Source organism: Homo sapiens, chromosome 18, assembly GCF_000001405.40.
Source record: "Homo sapiens chromosome 18, GRCh38.p14 Primary Assembly".
Lineage (NCBI taxonomy): Eukaryota > Metazoa > Chordata > Mammalia > Primates > Hominidae > Homo > Homo sapiens.
Window position 1 is genome coordinate 74,116,379 of NC_000018.10, and position 22,622 is coordinate 74,139,000.

Sequence of the window (22,622 nt, forward strand, 5' to 3'; positions counted from 1 at the left end):
TTTGCAAGTTTGATAATAAATTTCTATTGGGGTTTTTAATAGGATTGCAATGACTTGGTGGACTTAATTGGAGCATCCATAAAATCCCTTATTCAAAAATAGAATCCTGGAAATGTCCATACAGAATGACCAAATTCTGGCTCTATTAATAAATTATGTCATAGTTGAAGTTTTATCCTTTCCACTCAACCCTACTACCTCGGCCTGGACCCTCCCAGTAACCTGTCTGGACACTGCAACTGGTCACTTCATCCCCACCCCAGCTCCTCCTGGTGTGCCCTTCCTCAGAACATTCCAGAAATCCCTCATGCCACCCCTCCCCACTCATGCTTGTGCCTGGATTACCAAGCCTCTCTCTGTCCCTAACCCTATCAGGCAGGGATCACATGGAGGCAGGGCTTCCCTCTGTGTGGCCCATGTCCTGCATTCAATAACGGTTTGTTAATAGATGAACCCCAGAAGACCCAGCCTCATCCCTTTACTTCCTGCAGCTCCCTACAGCCTGCCTGGTTAGCGTCGAGCCAGGCTTCACAGGTCTCTCGGAGGATGAAGAGAGCAGAGAGCCACCTACATTCCACAGACGTGACGACAGAACATTTTATCCTTGATAGGGAGAAAGGCTTTTTTAAAAAATGGGGGCAAAGTGATTTATACCCAAACGCAATGACATAGCTGAAATTTACTAAATATACCACATGGTACCACAAGAGAGTTTCTCAAAAACTACAGAGGACATTCTATTTGTATAATACTTTTAAAAATGTTACAAAGACACTCTGATGGCAACAGCACCCTCTGCTGACTCCTAGTAGTGCAACCATGGGAAGTAGAAATATATTTGAGTCCACCTTGGAAATCCTACTTTGTCATCTTTTTACTGGGGGGAAAATCACAAAAGGCCAATTATTCCTAACTCAGTTTCCCATTCTCCCTCATTTAACTTAACCTCTTATGCGTTATAACAACCATATAACCATCAAGGGGTTTATTAACGTTAACACAAAATTGGCTTAAATGTTACTCCAGCAAGTCAACAGCCTACCCTGACCACACTTACAGTGCCAAAACTTTGGAAATACACTGACAGTCACACACACACACAAGAAGATACACTCTAAAAGCACATCATTTAAAAGGCAAAAATATACAGGAAGCATATTACAGGAAGCAGGACATACCCAGCTCTGGAGTCGCGCGGACCTGAGTGCAGACTGTGCCACCTACTAGCTTTACAGAACACAGACCTGACTCTCTACCACCTTCTGATTCCTCATCAATAACATGGGGAGGTGAAAGTACCCACAGCTCAGGCGTGCTGTGAAAAGGAAGTGAAATAACACGAAACATTTAGCAGAAACCTATAATGAGTGCTCAAAAATTTTCCCTATTATTATCGTATTCATCATTATTAAGGGCATATTTTAAGTATGAGGAATGCAAACATAAAAATTAATCAACGCTATGCTGTATTTGTTTGCAATAGTGAATGGCGAGCCCTCTTCTCTGAAGTTCTAGACAGTCCACTGAGACAGACCTAGCACCTAACAGGTCCTAACTCCTCAAGAATAGAGTGATGGGATAATTCTACATGCGTATGGATCCCAACATACAGAATTCTACATACATATTTCTTTTTTTTTTTTTTTGAGACAGGGTCTTGCTCTGTTGCCCAGGCTGGAGTGCAGGGTCACAATCATGTCTCACTGAACCCTGGAACTCTCGATCCTCCCACCCTCAGCCTCTCAAGTAGCTGAGACTACAGGTGCATGTAATCATGCCCAGCTAATTTTTGTATTTTTTTGTAGAGGCCGGGTTTCACCATGATGCCCAGGCTGGTCTGGAACTTCTGGGCTGAAGTGATCTGCCTGCCTCAGCCTTTCAAATTGCTAGGTACAAACATGAGCCACCACACCACATCACATAAAGGTAGGCCAGGGTGTGGTGGCTCATGCTTGTAATCCCGGCACTTTGAGATTCAGAATGTTAATATTCCCCTTGACGATTTTATGACCTGCGTATATACACATATATACACATATATATATATATGTGTATATACACACACACATGTTGTATAAACATCAAGGGGTCTATTAACATTATACACAGAGAGAGAGAGAGAGAAAGAGAAAGAAAAATGATTTTTTAATGGCAAATAATGTTATAAATGAATAAATTCTGTATAAAGACTGTACAGGAGTTCTCTGTACAATGTAAAATTATTTCAAAATAAACATTTTTAAAACTGAAAGTAATATAATTAGTGTCTTGGAAGCAATTTTTATAGAACAGTTGGTATTCTGCAAAAACTATGTCTTATAAGCCATCTCAGATGAGAAATGGCACAAGTTCCTGATGTTTGCCTTGTAATGAGAGGATGACATAGACACTAAGTACCTAAACACAAATTTCATTTTTATTTGTGTAGCCAAGTAACCTACCCTAGGTACAAAAGTAGAAAGTACTCTGCCAGACGTTGAATTTGTGAGGCTTTTTATTTCCAGAGAGAAGTACACAGTCATGTACTTTAGAAGGGGAACTCTGATGCCCTTCCTCTGGGTTGTAAGAGAAAAGGAATCAAGGCAGTGGTGGAAGACCAGCAGTGGCAGCTCTGGAACAGCACAGTGGCCTAGGAAATAGGCCCCACCAGCCTCCTGGGGCCTCCCCAGGCCCTGGGAGGCGGGATGAGGGCAGGGCTTCCCACTCCTGGTGGAGAGGCTCAGGCCCTCGCTGTCGCCTTGCTTTGGTCCCACAAGAAGGGCCAGCCTGCAGCTCTGCTCTGCAGCATCCTGAAGCTGCATCTTTTCCTCTAGAGGCAACAGAGAACTGCAAGAGCTTTGACCAAAAAGATCCTGGCCAATGCGGCTGAGAATCCTTTAGCTAAAGAAACAGAAAGAGCTTTAAGATAACAGGCCCAGAAGAGTCTATCTAAGAGCCCCTCAACTGCATGGCCTTTGGGAGCCACCCATTCTCTTTGTGATATTTATGTGCAAGCCTACTATGTGCCATGACAGTCCTGAACAAAATAAACCAAAATACTGCCCCATGGAAGTTACTTCTCTTAAACATATAAACTACCTAAATAAGTAAACTCAGTGTGATAGACAGTGCTATGAAGAAAAATTGAGGCAGGCAGGTGAGAAATGGGGAGAGTGAGGGCTTCTAGGTGTAGCAAAGTGGGTAAAGCCTCACTGAGAAGCTGTCAGTGAATCAGGCTCAGAGAGACATGACCCCCAGGACCCACGCTAAGATCTGGGGCAGTAACACTGCAGGCAGGAGGGGCACACCAAGAATGTGAGGCCACAGAAAGCCTGATACAGTCAAGGAACAGAGAGGAACTCACTAAAGCTGCAGCGGAGCTAGAGTGGGGAGGACAGAAAAGGATAAGGCCAGAGAGGGGATGGCAGCAGTGTGGGCTGAGGTGGGGGAGGCAGAGTGGGGACACACAGGGCTCTGTAACGGTTCACAAGGTTTAAAGGGGAAGGAGAGCTCTGAGGAGCAGCTGTGGCTGGGACCAGGCAGCCATCTCACCTCATCTCTGTGGAAATCGCATCTTGTTCCCCCATTTCCCAGGCCAGCTGCCCACAGTGGTGGCACCAGGTCAGGCTAGATGCCGAATTCAACACTCCATGAGGGCTGCAGCCATGGAGAGCAGAGACTCAGTTCTCCGCTAATACTGGCATAGAAGGCACAGCGTTTGTACCCTTGGTGTGCACTAGGGCACACTGGGGGCACCCTCAACAATGTACACAGTGTGTACTTAGTCAAAGGGATATCATAGTCTCCAGTGTTCATGAATATAACAGAGCTTCAAAATACACATGGCAAAAACTGATAAAACAGCAAAAAAGTACACAAATTCACTGTCAGAGTTGGAGATCTCAACACCTCTCTCTAACTGATAAAACAAGTAGGCAAAAAATATCAACTCTCTCAACCGGTATTACCTAATTAATATTTTCGAACACTCTACTCAACAACAGCAGAACACATTCTTCTCAAGTACACATGGAACATATACCAAAATAGATCATATTCTGGAACATACAACAAATTTCAGTCACTTTTTAAAAATTCAAGTAATACAAAGCATATTTCCTGACCACAATTGAGTTAAATTAGAACTCAGTAACAGAAAGATCTCTAGAAAATCCTCAGATATTTGGAAACTATATTACACACTTCTATCTAACCCATATATCAAAGAAGAAATAAAAAGGAAATTAGAAAGTATTTTAAAGTGAATGAAAATGAAATAAAACATATCAGATTTTGTGGGATGCCACTAAAGCAATACTTAGGTGGAAGTTCATAGCACCAAATGTCTCAATATGATAAAATGAAAGTTCTCAAATCAATAATTTCCACTTCTCCCTTTAGAAACTAGAAAAACAGAAAATTACAACATAAGCAGAAAAAAAGTAGAAAGAATAGAAATCAACATGCAAATCAATGAAATACAAAACAAAATAATACAGAAAAAAAGGCAATAAAACCAAAAGTTAGGTATCTGAGAAGATGAATAAAATTGATAAACTTCCAGCCACACTGATCAGGAAAAAAAAGAAATACAGAAATACATGAATTACCAATATCAGGAATCACATCATGTCACTAGATTCTATAGACATGAAAAAGATAATAAGGGACTATTACGAAGAACTTTATGCCAATAAAGTCAGCAACTTAGATAAAATGGACAAATTCCTTAAAAGACAAAAAATACCACAGCTGACTCAAGAAGAAATGGATAACCTAAATAGCTCCATCTCTTTGAAAGAAAAGGAAACTGTAGTTAAAAGTCTTCTCATAAAGAAAGGTCCAGGCTTGGATGAATTCTACCAAACAAGGAAGAAATACTACCAATTCTATGCAAAATCCTCCAAAAAATCCAAGAGGAAAGAATACTTCCCAATTCATTCTATGAGACCAAAACCTCACAAAGAAATCACAAAACAGCTGGAAGATAAAACGAAAGAGAAGTAACAAGAATTAAATACTTCATAAATATCTTAACAAGAAATGTGCAAAACTAGCATGAAGAAAATTCTGAAACACTCCTCAAAGACATAAAAGTATTTTTAAACAAACTGAAAGATGTTCCACATTCTTGGATGGAACAATTCAACAACATAGATGTTACTATACCTCAGGTTAATATGTGGAATTGAATAATTCTGATAAAAATGCCAACAAACGCGAGAAAACCTAGCAATCTTCCTGAGCCAAAAAGCAAGGAAGACTCAAAGACAAAGAGGATATCTACAGGACACAGAAGCAGCCCAAAGCAGATCCCACCGACCAAGTAACTTCAAAAAGAAATGTCTATAACTGACTATAAATTATTAAATAAATAAATATCCAAGAGTCCAAAGTGACATTAAACAAGGGTGGGGGCGAGGAGGAAAGAAGAAGAGCTCACATTTCTTCCACCACAGGAGATGACTAGTGCCTCAGTGAAACCATGCTCCAGAGTTAAAGAAGCTAATGACTAACAGAAATGCTTGAGTTTGCAAGATGGCAGATAAGAAAAGAGGCAACTTACTAAAATAATAAAACGCCCTCCACTTGTAAGATAAAACTGGCTGAAATCAGTCGGAACCAATATGGCCAACTGGAGTTTTCACAGATGGAGTTTTCTGACATCACAGCCTGAATTCCCACCACATGTTTCATATTAACTCCTCCTGAATTTGCAAGTGACCTACGAGGGCATGAAGAGGTAACTGCGCCATGCCTGAGGACTTTCCAGACCTCCCTTTCCTTCCACCGATCACCTACTAATCCCAGAATCCACTCCCTACACCTTTTCTAATAAAATTACTGCATTAAAGCCAGCATGAGGAGACAGATTTGAGCTGGACTCCTGTCTCCTTATCAGTGGGCCAGCCATAAAAAGCTTTTCCTTTCTCAAAAACCTGCTGTCACAGTATTGGGTTCCAGCACATTAGGCAGCAAGCCCCTTGTGCTCTGTAACATCAATTTCTTCATCTGAAAATTGGCAGTTAAAAGGAAAGAATTAAGCATTTGCTCTGCCTTTATAGAAGTTCACCCAGGTGATAAGAGAAAGTTCTTTACAAAATCTCAGTTGATAAATATAGAAATAGTGACATAATTAGAAAATCAACATTTTTAAACAAAATATTTGATTTAGGCACATATCATTAATGAGTGTCAAGTCCACTAGATGAAAGACTTTGGAGGACCAGGATATTTGGAAAAGAATACTTTTAATAATGAAGATATCTAGTGGTCACCATCTTAACCAGATGATAAAACCAGGCATTACTAATAATGGGACAACCTGACATTATATACCTCTCAATATAATGCAAAATGAAGTACATAACTTCCCTTTTAAAATATTTTTACCAGAAATGTTAAACTTGAATCTAAGCAAGTCCTTACATGAAACTCCAAGTTTACAGGCTACAGTAGAATGAAACCAAAAGGAAATAATCAGATAAGTGAGAATGGGGCATTCTCCACTCCCTCGTTTTTCCTGCTTGGCGTAAGCTCCCTCCTTTCCTCTGTCTGCCCCAGCCTCTGTCCTGGCTTTGGTAGGTGTGGCAAACAGTGATGCAGTACGTAGAGGAGAAAGGCTGGTTTCTCTTTACTCTCATCCTGGAGCGGCACGGGCCCTGCTGGCAAATTTACCACATTCCTTTAAGAAAGAAGGGAAGAAGTCTGGGGAAAGCAGAGAGCATGGAAAAATAATAAGGAAGCATCAGTAGAGAAGATGAGTAGGGGCTACCCCCAGAAGGTGGCATTGAGAGTGATGGTGGTGAAGGAGACAGAGCCAGTTCTGAAGAGACTCGGTCCAGTGAGGACTTTCACAAGCCCTGGGATGACACACGGGTCTGGGAGGATACTGGTGCCAAAAGATTATAAAGTGACCAGTGAGGGCAATTCTTAACTCGGACATCAAAATTGGTTCCCTCACCTCAACCTTTAATTTCATAATGAAATAAAAACTCAATCAATTTCACCTCTCTTGGTGAAGAGATTGCGAAATGTACCACATAGGTAGAAAACCCCACCGCTGTGCAGATCAACATGGAGTTGGTAGCCGTGCAGTCCATACTCGGGGCTATCATCCAAAAAGGGGCTATGTGGAGGCAGTTCATAGGGGCTGAAAAGCAAAACAAAAGAAACATACAAATTTGTCAACACCAGGGATAAAATTCTTGGTTTGAAAATACTTTTTAAAAAATTACCATCTGTATCAAAGCACTACCTCCTACAAATGAAACTCCATAGGATTCCCTATAATCTTCAATACTGTGAACTTAAAAGACTGCTCAATGTTACTTTTACCAACTTCTATAAAAACAGGCAATGATGTGAGTTCTGTAGGCAGCCACCGCCCAGCACGGGTGCACATGTTTCTGCAGCTGATCCCAGCATGGCCACTCTATAAAAGCCACTCTGCCCTCCGTGTTGTTCTCAGTGTCCAGGGGACAAAAGTGCTCAGCAGGAAAAGGCACTGAATACCGATCTGCAGGACAAACACCCAGGCAGACCCAAAGCCAAGACAAAGTTTTATTCAACAAGAAAAACATGACTACGTAAGGTGACAAACTCAAAAATACTCAGGAGCTTCTCAGGTAATTAAAAAAAAAAAAAATGAGTAAGGGAGTCTAAGTCCACAGGAAAAGGGTGAGAGCTGTAGTGAAATGGGAAGCCTGTGCGCCACCTAAAGACGCGCAAATTCATTAAAAGACACACACTGTCCAGACCGGACAGAATCATCCGCAGGCCAGGTTCAGCCCAAGGGCCATGAGTCTACATGCCTTACAAGATGTGAAAATTCACATAAGAGCAAGAACTTGAAGGACAGTAGTGGCATCTTGAAGTAATCAAGCTATCCTACCCATACAAATAACAACCTACTAGGTACAAATTCCTTGACCCAGAATAAATAAAGCAAATATGTACTCGTGAATAATCCAATTATTTTAGCGACAGCTAATTGTGCCTGTTGGTTTGTGTTTACTGATTAAAAACAGAATATCTCTGCAGCTATTCTCAGGATATTAAGATGGCATCAACTTCTAATACTTTATATTTACTGTACAAAAATTCAACACACCCACATATAAATACATACATAGTAGCCGAGCCTAATGTGCTCCTCTCCACAAGGTGATGAAAATGAAGATTTGCCATAACAAAAGCCAGTTCTTCCTCCTTCTGAAAAGTTAATTGAGAAGAATACATATTTCAACCAAAATGCTTACATTTTTCACAAGATCATTGTGAAGATCACAGCACATTCATCTTGCAGATAGAGGCACTTTCTTACAAACATAAGATCACCACAGTGCTAATGCATTATTACTGCTAATATGTTACTACTATCTAATAAGACTTATATTTCATATTGACAGCAGGACCACAATTCACCCAAATATGCAGAGCACACAGGACCAAAAGAACTCACAGCCTAGAGCTTGTGAAATATCAAAAGATATATATGATAGTTGTGAAACTATGCAGTTAGTTCCAGGCTGTTTCAAATTCCTTTCAAAGACTTTCACAGATACCAGATTAATTCTACAAATACTGAACTTTACTGACACAATGTTCCTCTTGCAAGTAACTGCTTGATTTGGCCAACGTGGTGGGAATGATTAGATTCAACTTCTTCACTTGTCCATGAGGTTGAATAGCAGAAAATGCGACTATTTGGGGACTGACCTCCATTTCTCCCCAGATTCACAGCTGACACTGATGGGCATAGGTGACCCCCAAATGGTAAATTTGAAGGTGCCACTCTCCAGTAGCCAGGCAGAGGACAATCGAAGCCACCAGAGTGCTCACAACTCTGCAACCAACAAAGCTGGATGCATGCGAGTCACCGAATGCAGAGCAGGCAAGCTGCGGTCTCGCCCACAAGCCACCTTCACACAGAAAGGGGAGGAGGGAAAGAAAAAGTGACGGCCACAGTTGGCTAAGGAAAAGGGATGAGGATGGTGTTGTCTGAAGCTAGGGTCTTAATCCCGTCTAGTCATTGTAAACTAATGCATAACGCCAACTCAGAAACAGATTTGTGAACTACTATCTTAAAATATCAGCCAGACCTGGTGAAACGAGAAATCTTATGCAGAGAGAAAGGATAACATCGTAGACAGCTGACCCTGAAGAGCAGATTTCACTCAATGCCGCACCTACAGGATCAGAAACAGGCTTGGGAGACAAGCGTGCTGAACACATAGTAAGGGAAATGTTGTCAGAGAAAGAGCATGAAAGGAAGAGAAGAAGGAACGTGGACTGATTGGAAGTGGGAAAGCCACATGACATGAAAGGAATAACATGAAGGAAAACATGAAGGCAGGAAGAGGTTGTTGTCTATGATAGCAGAACAGCAGAACAACAGATAGCAGAGTTGTCTATCATAGCAGAACAGCACAGCAGCCTCGGTGGAACAGAGAGGGCCATGTTAGCTTGAAAAAATGAAGTTGGTGAGATGGTAAAATGGATTGCAGTTAGTGAAAAGCTTAAAGGATTTTACATTTGAAGTCATACATAATGGTAAGTAAATGTGGTATTGTGATGGGGAAATGACACAGTACATACAGGGACTCAAGTCTTACCTTCCACACTCCCACCAGGAGGCCAGGGTGCAGGCAGAAGATCCGAATGAGTCTGTCACAGCCAATCATGGTAGATATGGTCAAATGACTCAGATTGTACTTTGCAATTAAAGAATGCCATCGGAGTCTTTGAACGTTATGCCAAGGAAAGGAGAGAGAGAAGTGAGCTTTCCTGTCCATAGTGTTGTCAATTCTCTTTAGTGTATCACAAATGTGTTTGAAGAGCATGTTAATGATGTGCTCAAACTAAGTGGCATGTTGGCAGGGTGAGGACACAAATGAATAAAAGGCAAAATGGATACATTCAGATTTCCAAGCCAACTAGGTATTTCTTCCCCTCCGTCTTGCTCTTACTGTCAACTCAATGACCCAGCCGGGAGGAAGTTGAAGGACCAGGAAAGTGATGAAGTGGCAGCATTGTCTCCTGTTCTATTCCCTCCAAATCCAGCACAATACAATCTAAAGTAGACTCTCAATGTGTATTCCTAGTCAAGTGAGTAAAACAACACAGAAGCAAAGATACACTATTTCAAGTGACATAAGAACGGGTGGTCTCAGGAGATGGCTGGAAAGCAGATGGGCCTTTCACAGTTATCATCAAGGATAACTCAGAGATAGTGAAAGTTGACACATCAGAAATAAACTTAAACTAAATCACCAGTGTTTTCATAAAGGAGACACTAACACAGCATTAGACTGAAATCCCTGAGGAGCTGGGGCCACATCTCATTCAACAGTTGGTGCCCAGCACCTCAGGCACAAGCCAGCAGGCAATAGGAATTCAAAGGTACATTAAATAAATAAGTTAAAAAGGACACCAGCTGCAGTCCAGCTTCAAAGTGGAAGGGACTGTGAAGCATCAAAACCAGATCCGCAGCTGCCACATGACCCTAGTCCCATGTTCAGCTCTTCAAAATAACTTCTTGTGCAGAGAACAACAACTGGGTAAGGAGAGACGGTCGGTGAACGTGTGTGATGTAGAAATTAGAAATAAACCCAGCATATGCAGAATACACTTGGAGGAGGATAAATGCAGGGTCAGGAACCTCACTGTGGAGTCAGAGAAACCTGAGGTAAAACCTTAGCTTCAACCTACAGTGACTTTGCGACTATCACAGGCTGGTTCTTTGTGTATGAAATCACCAGCCTGCTGAGTGGGGACAAGAGCACACGGCATGGGGCAGGTGCTCAATAAATCGCAGTCCCTGCTAGTATCATTAATGTGGATAGAGGAGGCTGGGTGGGGATGTGAGAAACCTTCTTCTCTGAAAATCTGGCTGTAGAGGTACTTATTAAATAGACTCTGGGAATGTGCTGAGTCCTCATGTGCTTGGCCTTACAGCCACAGACACAGAAACTAAGGCTGACGTTTCCCCAGCAGTTCTCACAAATTTAGGGTGGGACAGCACAAGCTGCAGAGCAGAAAGTGCTGGCAAGGAAGAAAATTTGGAGTCTGACTAGAAAGGTATAAATTACAGGGAAATCCAGATTACATCAATGAGGCTTTCACTGTTGTTGAAAAACTTCTCATAGAGGAAACAAAAAAGACCCAAATAAAAATCACAAAGGCTCTTTTTGGCTGTCACACAGATGCGTACAAGGATTTATATTCCTGCACAATGAAAGCATTCACTTACAAACTTGCAATAAAAGTGCCGATCAAAACAAATCCTAAAAAACACTTTTAGTTTTGTTTATCACAGTTGATCAAAGGCTGGCTGGAGTCCATGGAAGTTTCACAGAAATAAATTACATCAAATGAATTTTCCCAATGAATTCTAGCATTGGGCACTATGTAGTATCTATTACTTCTGACCTTGATGACCATTTCAGGGAAATACTGTCTTTAACTGAGCTTTATAATTCAACATTATCCATTTAACTTAATTCTTCAGGATCATTTGAATTAATGTTAGCCAGTTTGTCCTAATATCTGTAAGTAACATTTCATGATATGCCAAGTAACATATTGTTTAGCAAAACTAGTACAGTTTGTGGACTTGTTCTCCAAACGTAATTTTGAAATGCATAAAGCCTAATTACTACATTAGAAAAAGCTGGCTTCCTTCATGATCCCGTATGAAATTTCAAAGATTTATCCAAATAAAAGTACCATTTTTTAAAAGGTAACTGTTTCCAAAGTATCTTCAGTAATATATTTAGGAAAAATAATTCATTTTTCATCATAACATTAAGAATATTTTTAGAGTACAATAAAACCTGGATTTGCCAGCACCAAGAGGTCTGAATAGTCTTACATTCAGAGCATGGGAAGAGAGCTCAGTAATCACTAAAACAATGCTCAAAGAGCAGGCGCCATGGAGAGGAGCCAAAAACAAGGTCCCCAGTTACAGAGCTGCAAAAAAAAAAAAAAGTGTCTGTATCCAGGGAAACCATGAAAGAACCCTGTCCCTCCATAGAGATGGCAGGCACTAATGTCAGATATCACAGTATCCTCCATAGCAAGGACAGACAGGAGAGAAACCAATGGGTGGAACTGCAGCACGCAAGGATGGTAAGAAAACGACATGGTAAATACTCCTGAAAAGTCAAAGAATACTGAGACAGTGAAGGAGATGGGAGGGCAGGAAACCAACGCAGGAGAAGGCAGGTATTACCTTTATATTTGCAATATATCTTATATAAAGCTATGTTAGCTTGCTCCAGAGATGAGGATGCTATGCATGCCATAATCCAGCTTTTAGGAGGAAGCAATCAATGATGAAAAAGACAGCCCGAGAGAGCTGCTCAGAAAGGCAGAATGCCAGCCTCATAGTGAGTATGGACTCAGTGCAAAGCCACCTGACAACAGAATAGTAAAGGGCTCACTAAGCATTACCCATGTGCTGCACACTTAGCTGATCTACGCATTTTATAGTGATATCTTTTGATCGATCTTATTCATTGCAGTCATATATGCTAAATACTATGCCAGTATAACGATCATTCCATTTCATAGAGGAGAGAATGGAGACACAGAAAGAGTAAGTTACTTGCACAAGATCACATATCTAGTAAGTTCAACAGAAGGCAGACAAAATAACTCATAATTATGACTTGGTTTCCTCATATTTAGACTATGATTAGTATACCATTTACTAAAGAAGGAAGATAACATATATCTTTCTGTTAAGATGGTTAAAATGAAAAACCTCAAAGGTTAGCCATCAATCATCCAGGAAATTTTGTTAACTAGAACATCATTCTTTACCATTAAAGACAACCCCAAGATACGAGGAAGTTAAATTTAGACCTAATCAGAAATGTGATAAAATGCACTCTTTTCCTCTTCTGCATTAATGCAGAATGTACATTTAATATGTGATAAAATTAAAAAACGCTGCTCTTATTTTTTAATTACAAAAGTAATGCCAACTAATATTTACATATAAGATGCTCTCACTCAACAGTTCTGCTGATTGGTACTTACCTATGTTTGGTGGGAGTTTTATACCAGTCGGTAAAAACTGGTGTCATGCCACATAAATCTAAGGTTGACAATGATGCTAGGCATGGCCATTTTTTGCCATACCATATAACAGTAACTGATGTGTCATTTATGGAAAGATCAACATGCTCCATGATATATTCTTTTCCACCTTTTTCTTTCAGTATAATTGCCCAACCTAAACCAAATATTCTGGAGAAAGAAAAAAAAACTAACAATGTTTGCCTCATTGAAAAAAAAAAAATGCTAAAGGCAATTTCATGTATCTTCTCTAAAGCATCTAGTTCCTTAAAAGCCAAAGTCAAAATTCTCAGAATGTGCCCAGTATAATTTTCACTTCAACAATAGTACTCTCTTTAGACTTTTTCTCCTCACCTAACACCCACTGAACATCCATGATTTTCCAGGTACTGGCAATATATAAATAAGACAAAGGTTCTGCCCAGAAAAGAGACCTTGAACATTCTTATTGTACTATAGCAGATAAGTAGGTTACTTCTGCTTTTCATTAAAACTTTAGGCTACTTACTAGTTATCCCTCTGTCTCCGCAAGAAATTGGTTCTAGGAACCCCATGATACCAAAATCTGTGGACGTTCAAGTCCCTTATATAAATGGCATAGTATGTGCATATAACCTATGCACCTCCTCCCGTATTCTTTAAATCATCTTGAGATTACTTATAATACCTAATACAATGTAAATGCTGTGCAAACTGTTGTTATTATGTATAATGTACTGGTTTTATTTGTATTCTTTTTTATACTGTTATTATTGTTTCAAGTTCCCCCCCACTAATATTTCTGATCTGCAGTTGGTTGAATCAGCAGATGCAGAAGGCTATGCGGAATAGGAAAATGATACATATTTTATAGATGCACAAAACACACAAAAATACTAGAGACAGTCCCACACAATCTAAACTGCACATACGTCCTACGTACACGATACTTTGAGCTGATGCCATCATTCTCTTTTGGAACACACTGCGTACCTGAGGGCCTCTTTGGTCTTAACTGGAAGGCCTGTGTAAGGGTTGACAGGTTTGAGAATGTCAGCTAGTGCGGCTTTTACAGATGCTATTTGTTTTGTGATATATTCTTTCTTCCAATAACCAGCTTCTTTATCCTGAACTGACAGAAAGCTCATAGACATAGCTATCTTCTCTACTGAATTAAATTTCCAATTTGATCTTGCAGGTGAAAAAGCAGTTGAGTAGATTCCGATCCAAATAAAACTGGAGGGAAAAGAGGAAATATGTTAACTAAGAGACACTGTCACCTACCTTAGTCATAATATATCAAATTAGAGATGCATATTTTCAAATAATCCAATTCCATGAATAAGCCAAGCTGAATATTTACAGTTGAACGTTCATCTGTTAAAGTGAATTGCAGTTTGAGATTTAGTGTTTTAAATTCAACACCACCAAAAACACATTTTAAAAAAAGGAAAAGCCCATTTCCCAGGGTCAGGTCTCAAGTGAGTAATCTCACGTTATTTAGGATCATCCAAACGACTGCCCTCTTATACCAGTAATGGAATAGGAAATATATTATTTAAACATAACAGAAAGTATATGTAGTATGATTCTTGTTTTTAAATACATACATGCTTTTAAAAAGATCAGAAAGGATGTATGTACACACACCAAGAAATTTCAATAGGGAACAATGGAATTGAACACTCTTTTTGCTATTTTTTAACTTTCAACAAGGAATACGCTTTCACAAAGAGAAAAAAAGTGAAGGTTTTTAATGGTAACAACTAAACAATAGTTAACATTAAATTTTGTCAACACTTACTATGTGTCAAGCATCGTTTAACCACTTTATGTATTATACATGACTCATTTATTCCTCAGAAAGAAACCAGGAGGTGCTGGTATTCCTGTCCCCACTGCATAGATGCTGTAACTGAGGCTCAGATGCAAGGTGAGCTGGCCCAGGTCTGTGCACTCAAGTGTATAGTGAAGCTGGGATCGGAACCAGAGCTCACACTCTTATCACCTGGGTTTCACTGCCTCTTCAATCACAAAGAAATGGGTCAAAGAAACTGAATAAGCTCCCCAAATTCAGAGAGCCAATAAGCCTCAATGTTGGAATTCAAATTCAGCTCTGACTCAAAGTCTGTTCCTTCCACTCATCTCTACTAAGAGGGCAGGAGAAGCCCCACGAGTGGTGGCAGTGAGCTGGCCTGAGAGCTCCTCCCTCTCAGCCAGTACTCTCCACCAGGAAAGAGAAGGAAGACACAGGGAAAACTGAGGCAGCGGTTAAAATCAATTCCTTATCTGAAAGGCAAACTTTGCATTTTAAACATTAATGATTTGCTCATTTAGGTCTCCACATTACTACTCAGAGCAGCATGGGATGAAGCAGTCAACGGCCTGGAGGCTGCAAGGAAAAAGCGATTCCCCCACAGAGCAGTGGTCCTGAACTGCAGCAGGACCCCTGGGGATAACTGGGTGCTCTGGGGAGGCAGAGCTATTTCCTTAACCACAGCAGAAAAGGACCATTTCTCAAACACGTGACTTTGGAACACCACCTCCTTGACTCAGACATTACATGGACTTCCCAACAAATGCAAGCTCACATACAGTCAGACCCTGGTTGAATTCTCTTCCTAGTGTGGGTTTCTCAGTCATTTCTCACTCTGCAAAATCACTTCATGCCTAGCTTTTATATTAAAGTGTTTGTGTTTTCAATTCAGAAATTTCTAGACTTTCCTATGTAAGCGGACAGATGCAATGCGATGATGAGTTGAGTACATTTAAGTAAAGCTGAAACTGTTTCACCAAAATCCTTTGAATAGACACTTTTAAAACTCCCTTTGCATAAAAGCTTGCTTGTGTTTTCTTCACATTTATTTTATTCAGCATCTCACCCTATGTAAGTATTCCTTTAGCAGGACCTTTATGGAGCCTTGAATTCCTCACATCAGCACTATCTAAACAACCTCTGATACTATTTTTACATGTGTTAGCACTTACCAACTGCAAAAACAAACACTGCCGCAGAGATGGGAATCACAGCATAAACTCCACATGCAGTGAGTAACCATAACCACAACTAACATTCGTATGATGAACTATGTTCACATACATGATCATATATTACTTACCGTAAGTGAACCTAAGTGAAAACATTTTATATTGCAGATGGTTCCCCTTGATTTTTTATAATATACAAATGTTAAGGTTCAGATACCTTTCACAGTCTCCAAACACATTTACTTCTTGATCCCCAAATGCTCCATCCTGTTAGAAGGCCTAGTCAGATTCGAGGACGAGGGCATATTTATCCAACAGAACTACCAACAGGCTCAGGGAAACTCAAACAAGTTGTTTAGAAAATGGGGCCAATTTAATGTTCAGATAAATAGTGTTTGCCAGAGTACATGGCAAATAAAACCCCCTTGTGATAAACCAGATGTCACCTCATCCACACACCCCTGTTTTTCTCACGCAGAGACAGGGCTCACACAGAAGGGAGTAGCCCCGCTGCTGGGATGGGGCACTGGGGAGCCCCCTGCCCTTCAAGTGTGCCTGCCCATAAGTCATCAGTGTAACTCACTACACTATGTGTGCTTGCCCTCTCTTCAGAAGTAACGCTTAGAATACACTGTAAACTTTTCAAAAACACATATTGATTACTTGTTCAATTATCACACATCCTTTTCTGTAGTCTGACTTCATGATCAGACGTTGACTTTAAGAGTCAGACTATGACTCTTTAGGTCCTTTAACAGGACCTAAAAAGTGCAATTCAACTTAGCACAATTAAATATGTCTTTTGAAAAAGAAAAGAAATGTGAGTGCAATTTCATCAGTAGCTCATATTTCCAAACGGCAACTTCCAAGAAAGTGAGGAGGGCACACAAATAATACTAAAAGTATGCAAAAAACATCACTAGAGCCATGCTCCAAATCTGATTCCAGGCCTGGTTTCTTCACCATGCAGGTGAAGTGGAGAGAGAAGACAGTAAAGAAACTAAGAAATATACAATGTATCAGCTTATCTGAAGAGTCTGAGTTCTACCCTTAAATAAAGTGGGAACCCTCCAGAATGCTAGTTTTAGATATTTGGTTGACTCCTTCCTTGAAAAATGCCTTGCTGTGCTTTCTTTTAGTGACCACCTTCATCTCTTATTAGATCATTGTCATAGTCTCTTTGTGTTGCTACAAAGGAATACTTGAGGCTGGGTAATCTGCAAAGGAAAGAGGTTTATTTGGCTCATAGTTCTGCAGGCTATACAAGGAGCACAACACCAGCATCTGCCTCTGGTGAAGCCTCAGGAAGCTTCTACACGTGGCAGAAAACCAAGGCGAGCCAACTGTGCAGAGATCACACGGCAGAGAGAGAGAAATAGAGTGAGTGAGCAAGAGAGAAGGAAGGGAGGTCTGCCAGGCTCTTTTAAACAACCAGCTCTAGAGCAAGAACTACAAGGAAGGCACCAAGCCATTCAGGAGGGATCTGTTCCCATGACCCAGATGACTCCCATTAGGCCCCACTTCCAACACTGGGGATCAAATTTCAACATGAGGCTTGGGGAAACAAACAAATCTCAACTACGTAAACTACAACAATCATTAAGGAAGGGAAATGTAGAAATTGCTCTAATTCATTCTATAACTACTGTGAAGAACATTATTAGTTCATTCATTGATATGTGTATGTGTGTGTTTGTGTGTGTGTGCATGTATTGACATAGACATACATATATTCTTCCATATAGGAAACATCTCTTTAAATTAAAAGAAAAATCACCCTTTCCAACTAGGGAACAGTGTATGTCCTCTTCAGAGTATGACAATGGTTGAGGACAGCTTTAATGAGATCTGAGGGCTTATTCTGAGTTCCTCACTTAAGTGGCATACACCTAACAACAAAGATGGACTAGATTAGTTATTTCGGAACTTGACTATTCATTAGTATGACCTGGAGAATTTTTTTTTTTTTTTTTTTTTTGAGATGGAGTCTCGCTCTGTCACCCAGGCTAGAGTGCAGTGGCGATCTCAGCTCACTGCAAGCTCCGCCTCCCAGGTTCATGCCACTCTCCGGCCTCAGCCTCCCAAGTAGCTGGGACTACAGGCGCCTGCCACCATGCCCAGCTAATTTTTTGTATTTTTAGTAGAGACGGGGTTTCACCGTGTTAGCCAGGATGGTCTCGATCTCCTGACCTCGTGATCCGCCCGCCTCGGCCTCCCAAAGTGCTGGGATTACAGGTGTGAGCCACTGCGCCTGGCTGGAGAATTTTTAAAATACAGATTTCAGAGCACTAAATTATAATCCCTAGAAATGCAGACTAGGGATGGAAATGTTTTAAACTTTCCCAGGTGGTTCATATGTAGTCTTCCCTGGATGGCATCTGAGAACCACTGCACTAAATGACATTCTTGTCCACCATGTTCCAGGGTTAACTAATATGACAGCTCTCATTCTGCCACTCTCCGTCTCCTTACCTAGCAAACAAAACCATCAGTTAAAACCGGCATTCCCTCTCATCTTGCTGATCTCCCCAGCTGACATGCAGGTTCTATGTAGGAATGATGTTTGTCTGATCTTTTGATGCTAAATGAGAGAGGGGCCTAAAAAGCCAAGATGTTCTGTTGTAAGCCACGAAATCCTCACTGAAAGGAGGATTCCACCATCTCTCCCTCCAAGATACAATTCTGAGATGCAGGCTAAGATTATAGTGACAAACAGAAGCAGAGGTTTCTCCCCTTCCTTCCTAGATCCACCCCCTGCAAGACCAGATGACCACAGGTGAACCCCTCTCTTTTGGCTCCCTTCATCCAAGCGTACAACCTCTAGGAGAGGACAGTCTTGGCCTCTCTCTATCCATTTCGCTCTCCCCACAGAGTAAGTTAACTTGATTGGCATGTTTGGGAGGAGAAGCTAAGTACACCTAACTTAGTCTCTTCCTTCTCTTTCTTTAGGATCTGCTTGGCCATCAGCAGAGAGCACTCATTCTGCTCTGCGAATGCACGGCTAGGGTCAAAGCCAGCAGGTCCCTGCAGTGCTGCTTGAGACTCTGTGGTTAGGTCTGATTCTGTGGGGAATACAGCGAAGACCTCCTGGCAACAGACCTGAAGCTGCATTCTGTAACAGCTACAGCAATAACAAGTTTGATTTTTTTGTTCCATGCAAAGTATATTCCTTTAAGCATATAAATGCAAATATTTGAAAATTTCATAGTTAAAGCATTTGACATTTCCACTTGTGTGTAAAAATACTCTTGAATTCTCTTAAATTCTTAAAAATGGTTAAAAAGTTACTAGTTTTCCTGACTTCCATCAAACTGTCATCAAAACATAACAGAGACTTGGATTTCTGCTTACTTGTCATTGGCTAGATGATAAAAGCGCCTGCTCACACATCCAGTACACAGAAGGCTCACAGCATCCAAGTAGGAAAATATCTTCAGCAAGATTTCTGAAGGCATTCTGCAAAAACAGAAAAAGAAAAAAAAAATCACCAGAGTGGACCAGGGCTTAATCTGCAGATTACCCAGAAAACAACTGGCTGCTCATCTCTAAATAGAAGGCCGTAGAGAGACCCCTCCTGTACAAGAGGCAAACTGTACCCTCATCTTCAATTACTTTCTTTATTGAAACGTTCTGGTTATTCTAATTCTCATGACATAAACCATAAATAGAGCCAAGGGTTGGAAGAGCTAACTTCCTCAGCATTTTAATCACGTTCATACACTGTGAATCAACAGGCAGGATTTCAATGTCCCCCATGAAACTGTGTATTTTTTTATTATTATTTTTGTAGAGATAGGGTCTTGCTCTGTTACTCAGGCTAGAATGCAGTGGCATGATCAGGGTTCACTGCAGCCCAGAACTCCTAGGCTCCAGCCATTCTCCCGCCTCAGCCTCCCCAGCAGCTGGACTACAGGCGCACGCCGCCAAGCCTGGCTAATTTTTTGTATTTTTTGTGCAATTTCACCATGTTGCCCACCAAACCTGGCCTAAACTAGGTATGTTTCTTTAGTGAGATAAAAAGAGAATCAGAGAACATATTCTTAGGTATTAATAAGAAAAACACAGAATCTCTTTCCCCAAAAAAGTAAGTATAATGGGAAATAGCAGCTTATTCCCACCTCGCCCACACCGATCCCAGGCGCCACCTTCTGAGCACCCTTGGGCTTTTCACTGCTTCGTCTGGGGCTTCAAGGAGACACCAAGGGCCATAAGTTTTTTCTGAAGTGTCTGTTTTATTTGTATGCCTAAATATGATAGTGAGATATAGTCTCAATATTCCACCTATTTCTATGATCTCAGAATTCTATAAAACACAGTAATAATCTGAAAGCGACTAGAAAGTATCACTAGTGTCAAGAAGTCAGGAGTGCGCCTCTGTGAATCTTCAGCAAAAGGGCAAGCGGCAACAGAGCTACCACAGATTGTATCAAGGGTCGGTGGGGGGCAGTTCTAGGGATAAAGGAGTCAGGGGAGAAATCTTTTGTCCAATTTAAAAGGGCTTGCCCATACTGTCTACTTGTGATTGTTATGATTTTAAATTTGTTTATTTTTCAAGGAAATGAGGTAACTGGGTGTTTCACAGGAAAATAATCAGTCCTATAACTCCGATAATACTGAGAAAGAATAAAGTAGATCTTCAGAAAAAAGACAGTTAACGTTATGCCTGTTGGATATGCATCACCATGTAAATGTCCCCACTGCTCAAATCTCCAGCTATAGTTAACCAGAGACGTTCTGAGAGTTTAAACGAAAAGCTTTGCTTAAGCATTAATTAAATCAGTCCCCAAAATAAAACCCCTCCCATTCAGAGTCAATAAATTAGATCCTTGCAATGAGAAAAAGTCTCTAATGCTAGAGACAGCAAAGTTGCAAGAAAACATATTTTTGTGACCATTTGGATTATTCATTGCATATAATTTTTATATTTTGATTTAACTATTTCACAAAACTTCATATCTATTATTTTTTAAATCAGTACCATTGAACAAAAAAACAGAGCTGGGCTTAAAGACATTTCAGAAAAGTATCCAGCAACTACCAGAATTATTTAACTGGAATGAAATCCCATTCAAGACAGGCATTCAGCAGGTTTTTACCTTCCTCCCCACTGGACTAACCTAATGAAAAGGGGGGTACTCTGTGTCCTTCTAGCAAAAGGAGAAAATCTCTACTTTATAGTTAAGACAGTGGAGATCGAATACATTCTTAATCATTGTTCAAATAATTTCTTCTAACCTGGTACACAATGTTTACACCCATATTGGATTACTTTCTGTTGGATTCTAGTTATTTCACTTTGTGTGGGGTAAGGAGACAGGATGATAGGGAGATAAGGGAAAGGGGAGGTGAGAGGCAGGACCGTTAAAGAAGTTCAGAATGTAGAACAAAGAAACTGCTCTAAACCAACAAGCTTCCCTGAGAATGTTAATTTGTGCGTGTTCATTTTCAGTACTGTGGGAATTCAAATGTGAACACGTCCTTGTCCCTGCTTCATATTGTGGATCTATCCCAATATTCCTGCTTTCCTCACTTTCTTCCCCCTATTCCGATGGAGAATGCTCACTTCCTCTCATCAAAGCACCGGTGCTCTAGGTCCCCACGGTTTCTGCACAAGGACCTCAGCCTCCGGTTCCTGCCTCCCTCTTCCACACTGTTCATAGGAGCCTCTGAATCACCCTGAATCTCTCATCTGAAACTGCACTCTTCCTTTGGTTCTCCCCACCCCCATCTCTCTGGAGCCGCCACCTAATTTCTAGGCTCCCTCGCACTGCCAAGCTCTGGGAAAGAACAAAAGAAAACAAAACACTTGTCTACACCTGTTGCCTCCACCTCCAAGCTCCCTAATTTTTGCTTTCTACATTCCAGTGTGGAATAGAACACACGCAAGTAGGAAAATGAGCGGCCAGCCCCTTCCCTTGCATTCACCTGCAACAGCTGTGAGGGGCCACCATGCCCTGCTGCCTCCTCCCCCCGCCTCCCCAGGCCGCAGGTCACCGACTGCTCTTGTGTTGCAGGCTCTCTCCTCTTCTGCTTCACACACAGCCTCTCCTCAATGTCTTGGACCTCAGGGCTCTTCCCTGCCTGCTTGGTTGGTTCTCACTGCCGCAGGTCCTCCAAGCTTGCTCCTGAGTCGCCTTTGCCTTCCCTTCCCCACCCTTTCCCTAAGCCACCTCACCCAGCTCCATGACTGCTGACCCCACCAGGCCTCATCCTGAGCCAGACTGACACATCCATCATCCATCTGGCATCCTCCTTTGCACCTATCCCAGGCATCTCAGCTGTAACCAGTCCAAAGTCATTATCATGGCCCTCTCTTCCGCCCTGACCCCACCTCTCTTCCATCTCAGTCAACAGCACCTCAACCTGTGCTACTGCTTCAGCCAACAGCTCTGGATTCCTACTTGCCTGTTTCCCCCTCACACCTACATTAATTCATAAATGAATCATGTCAGCCATGCCCCCAACTATATCTCCCACTTGCCTGTGTCTCTCCGTCTTCCCTACTTCTAGAGAAGAGAGGTAAACAAATAAACAAGATAATTTGGGAAACTACATGGCATCCACACTCCTCCCCAGAGCCTGGTAGCCCC

The 22,622-nt window shown here is 41.2% G+C and overlaps 1 protein-coding gene across 10 annotated transcripts in view; it reads right to left on the reverse strand.

The window, feature by feature from the left end:
• The window catches only part of FBXO15 (F-box protein 15), a 74,467-nt gene that overhangs the window by 43,011 nt on the left and 8,834 nt on the right, over window positions 1–22,622 (reverse strand). For 5 of the 10 annotated variants that reach the window (NM_001142958.2, NM_152676.3, XM_047437341.1 and 2 more), the window contains exons 3-8: window positions 19,384–19,488; window positions 14,038–14,280; window positions 13,027–13,236; window positions 9,597–9,723; window positions 8,111–8,193; window positions 6,990–7,132 (exon numbers count right to left, since the gene is read on the reverse strand). In NM_001142958.2, coding sequence (NP_001136430.1) covers window positions 6,990–7,132; window positions 8,111–8,193; window positions 9,597–9,723; window positions 13,027–13,236; window positions 14,038–14,280; window positions 19,384–19,488 — 911 coding nt within the window. The other 5 variants (XM_024451099.2, XM_011525856.2, XM_047437343.1 and 2 more) reach the window with 5 other exon arrangements.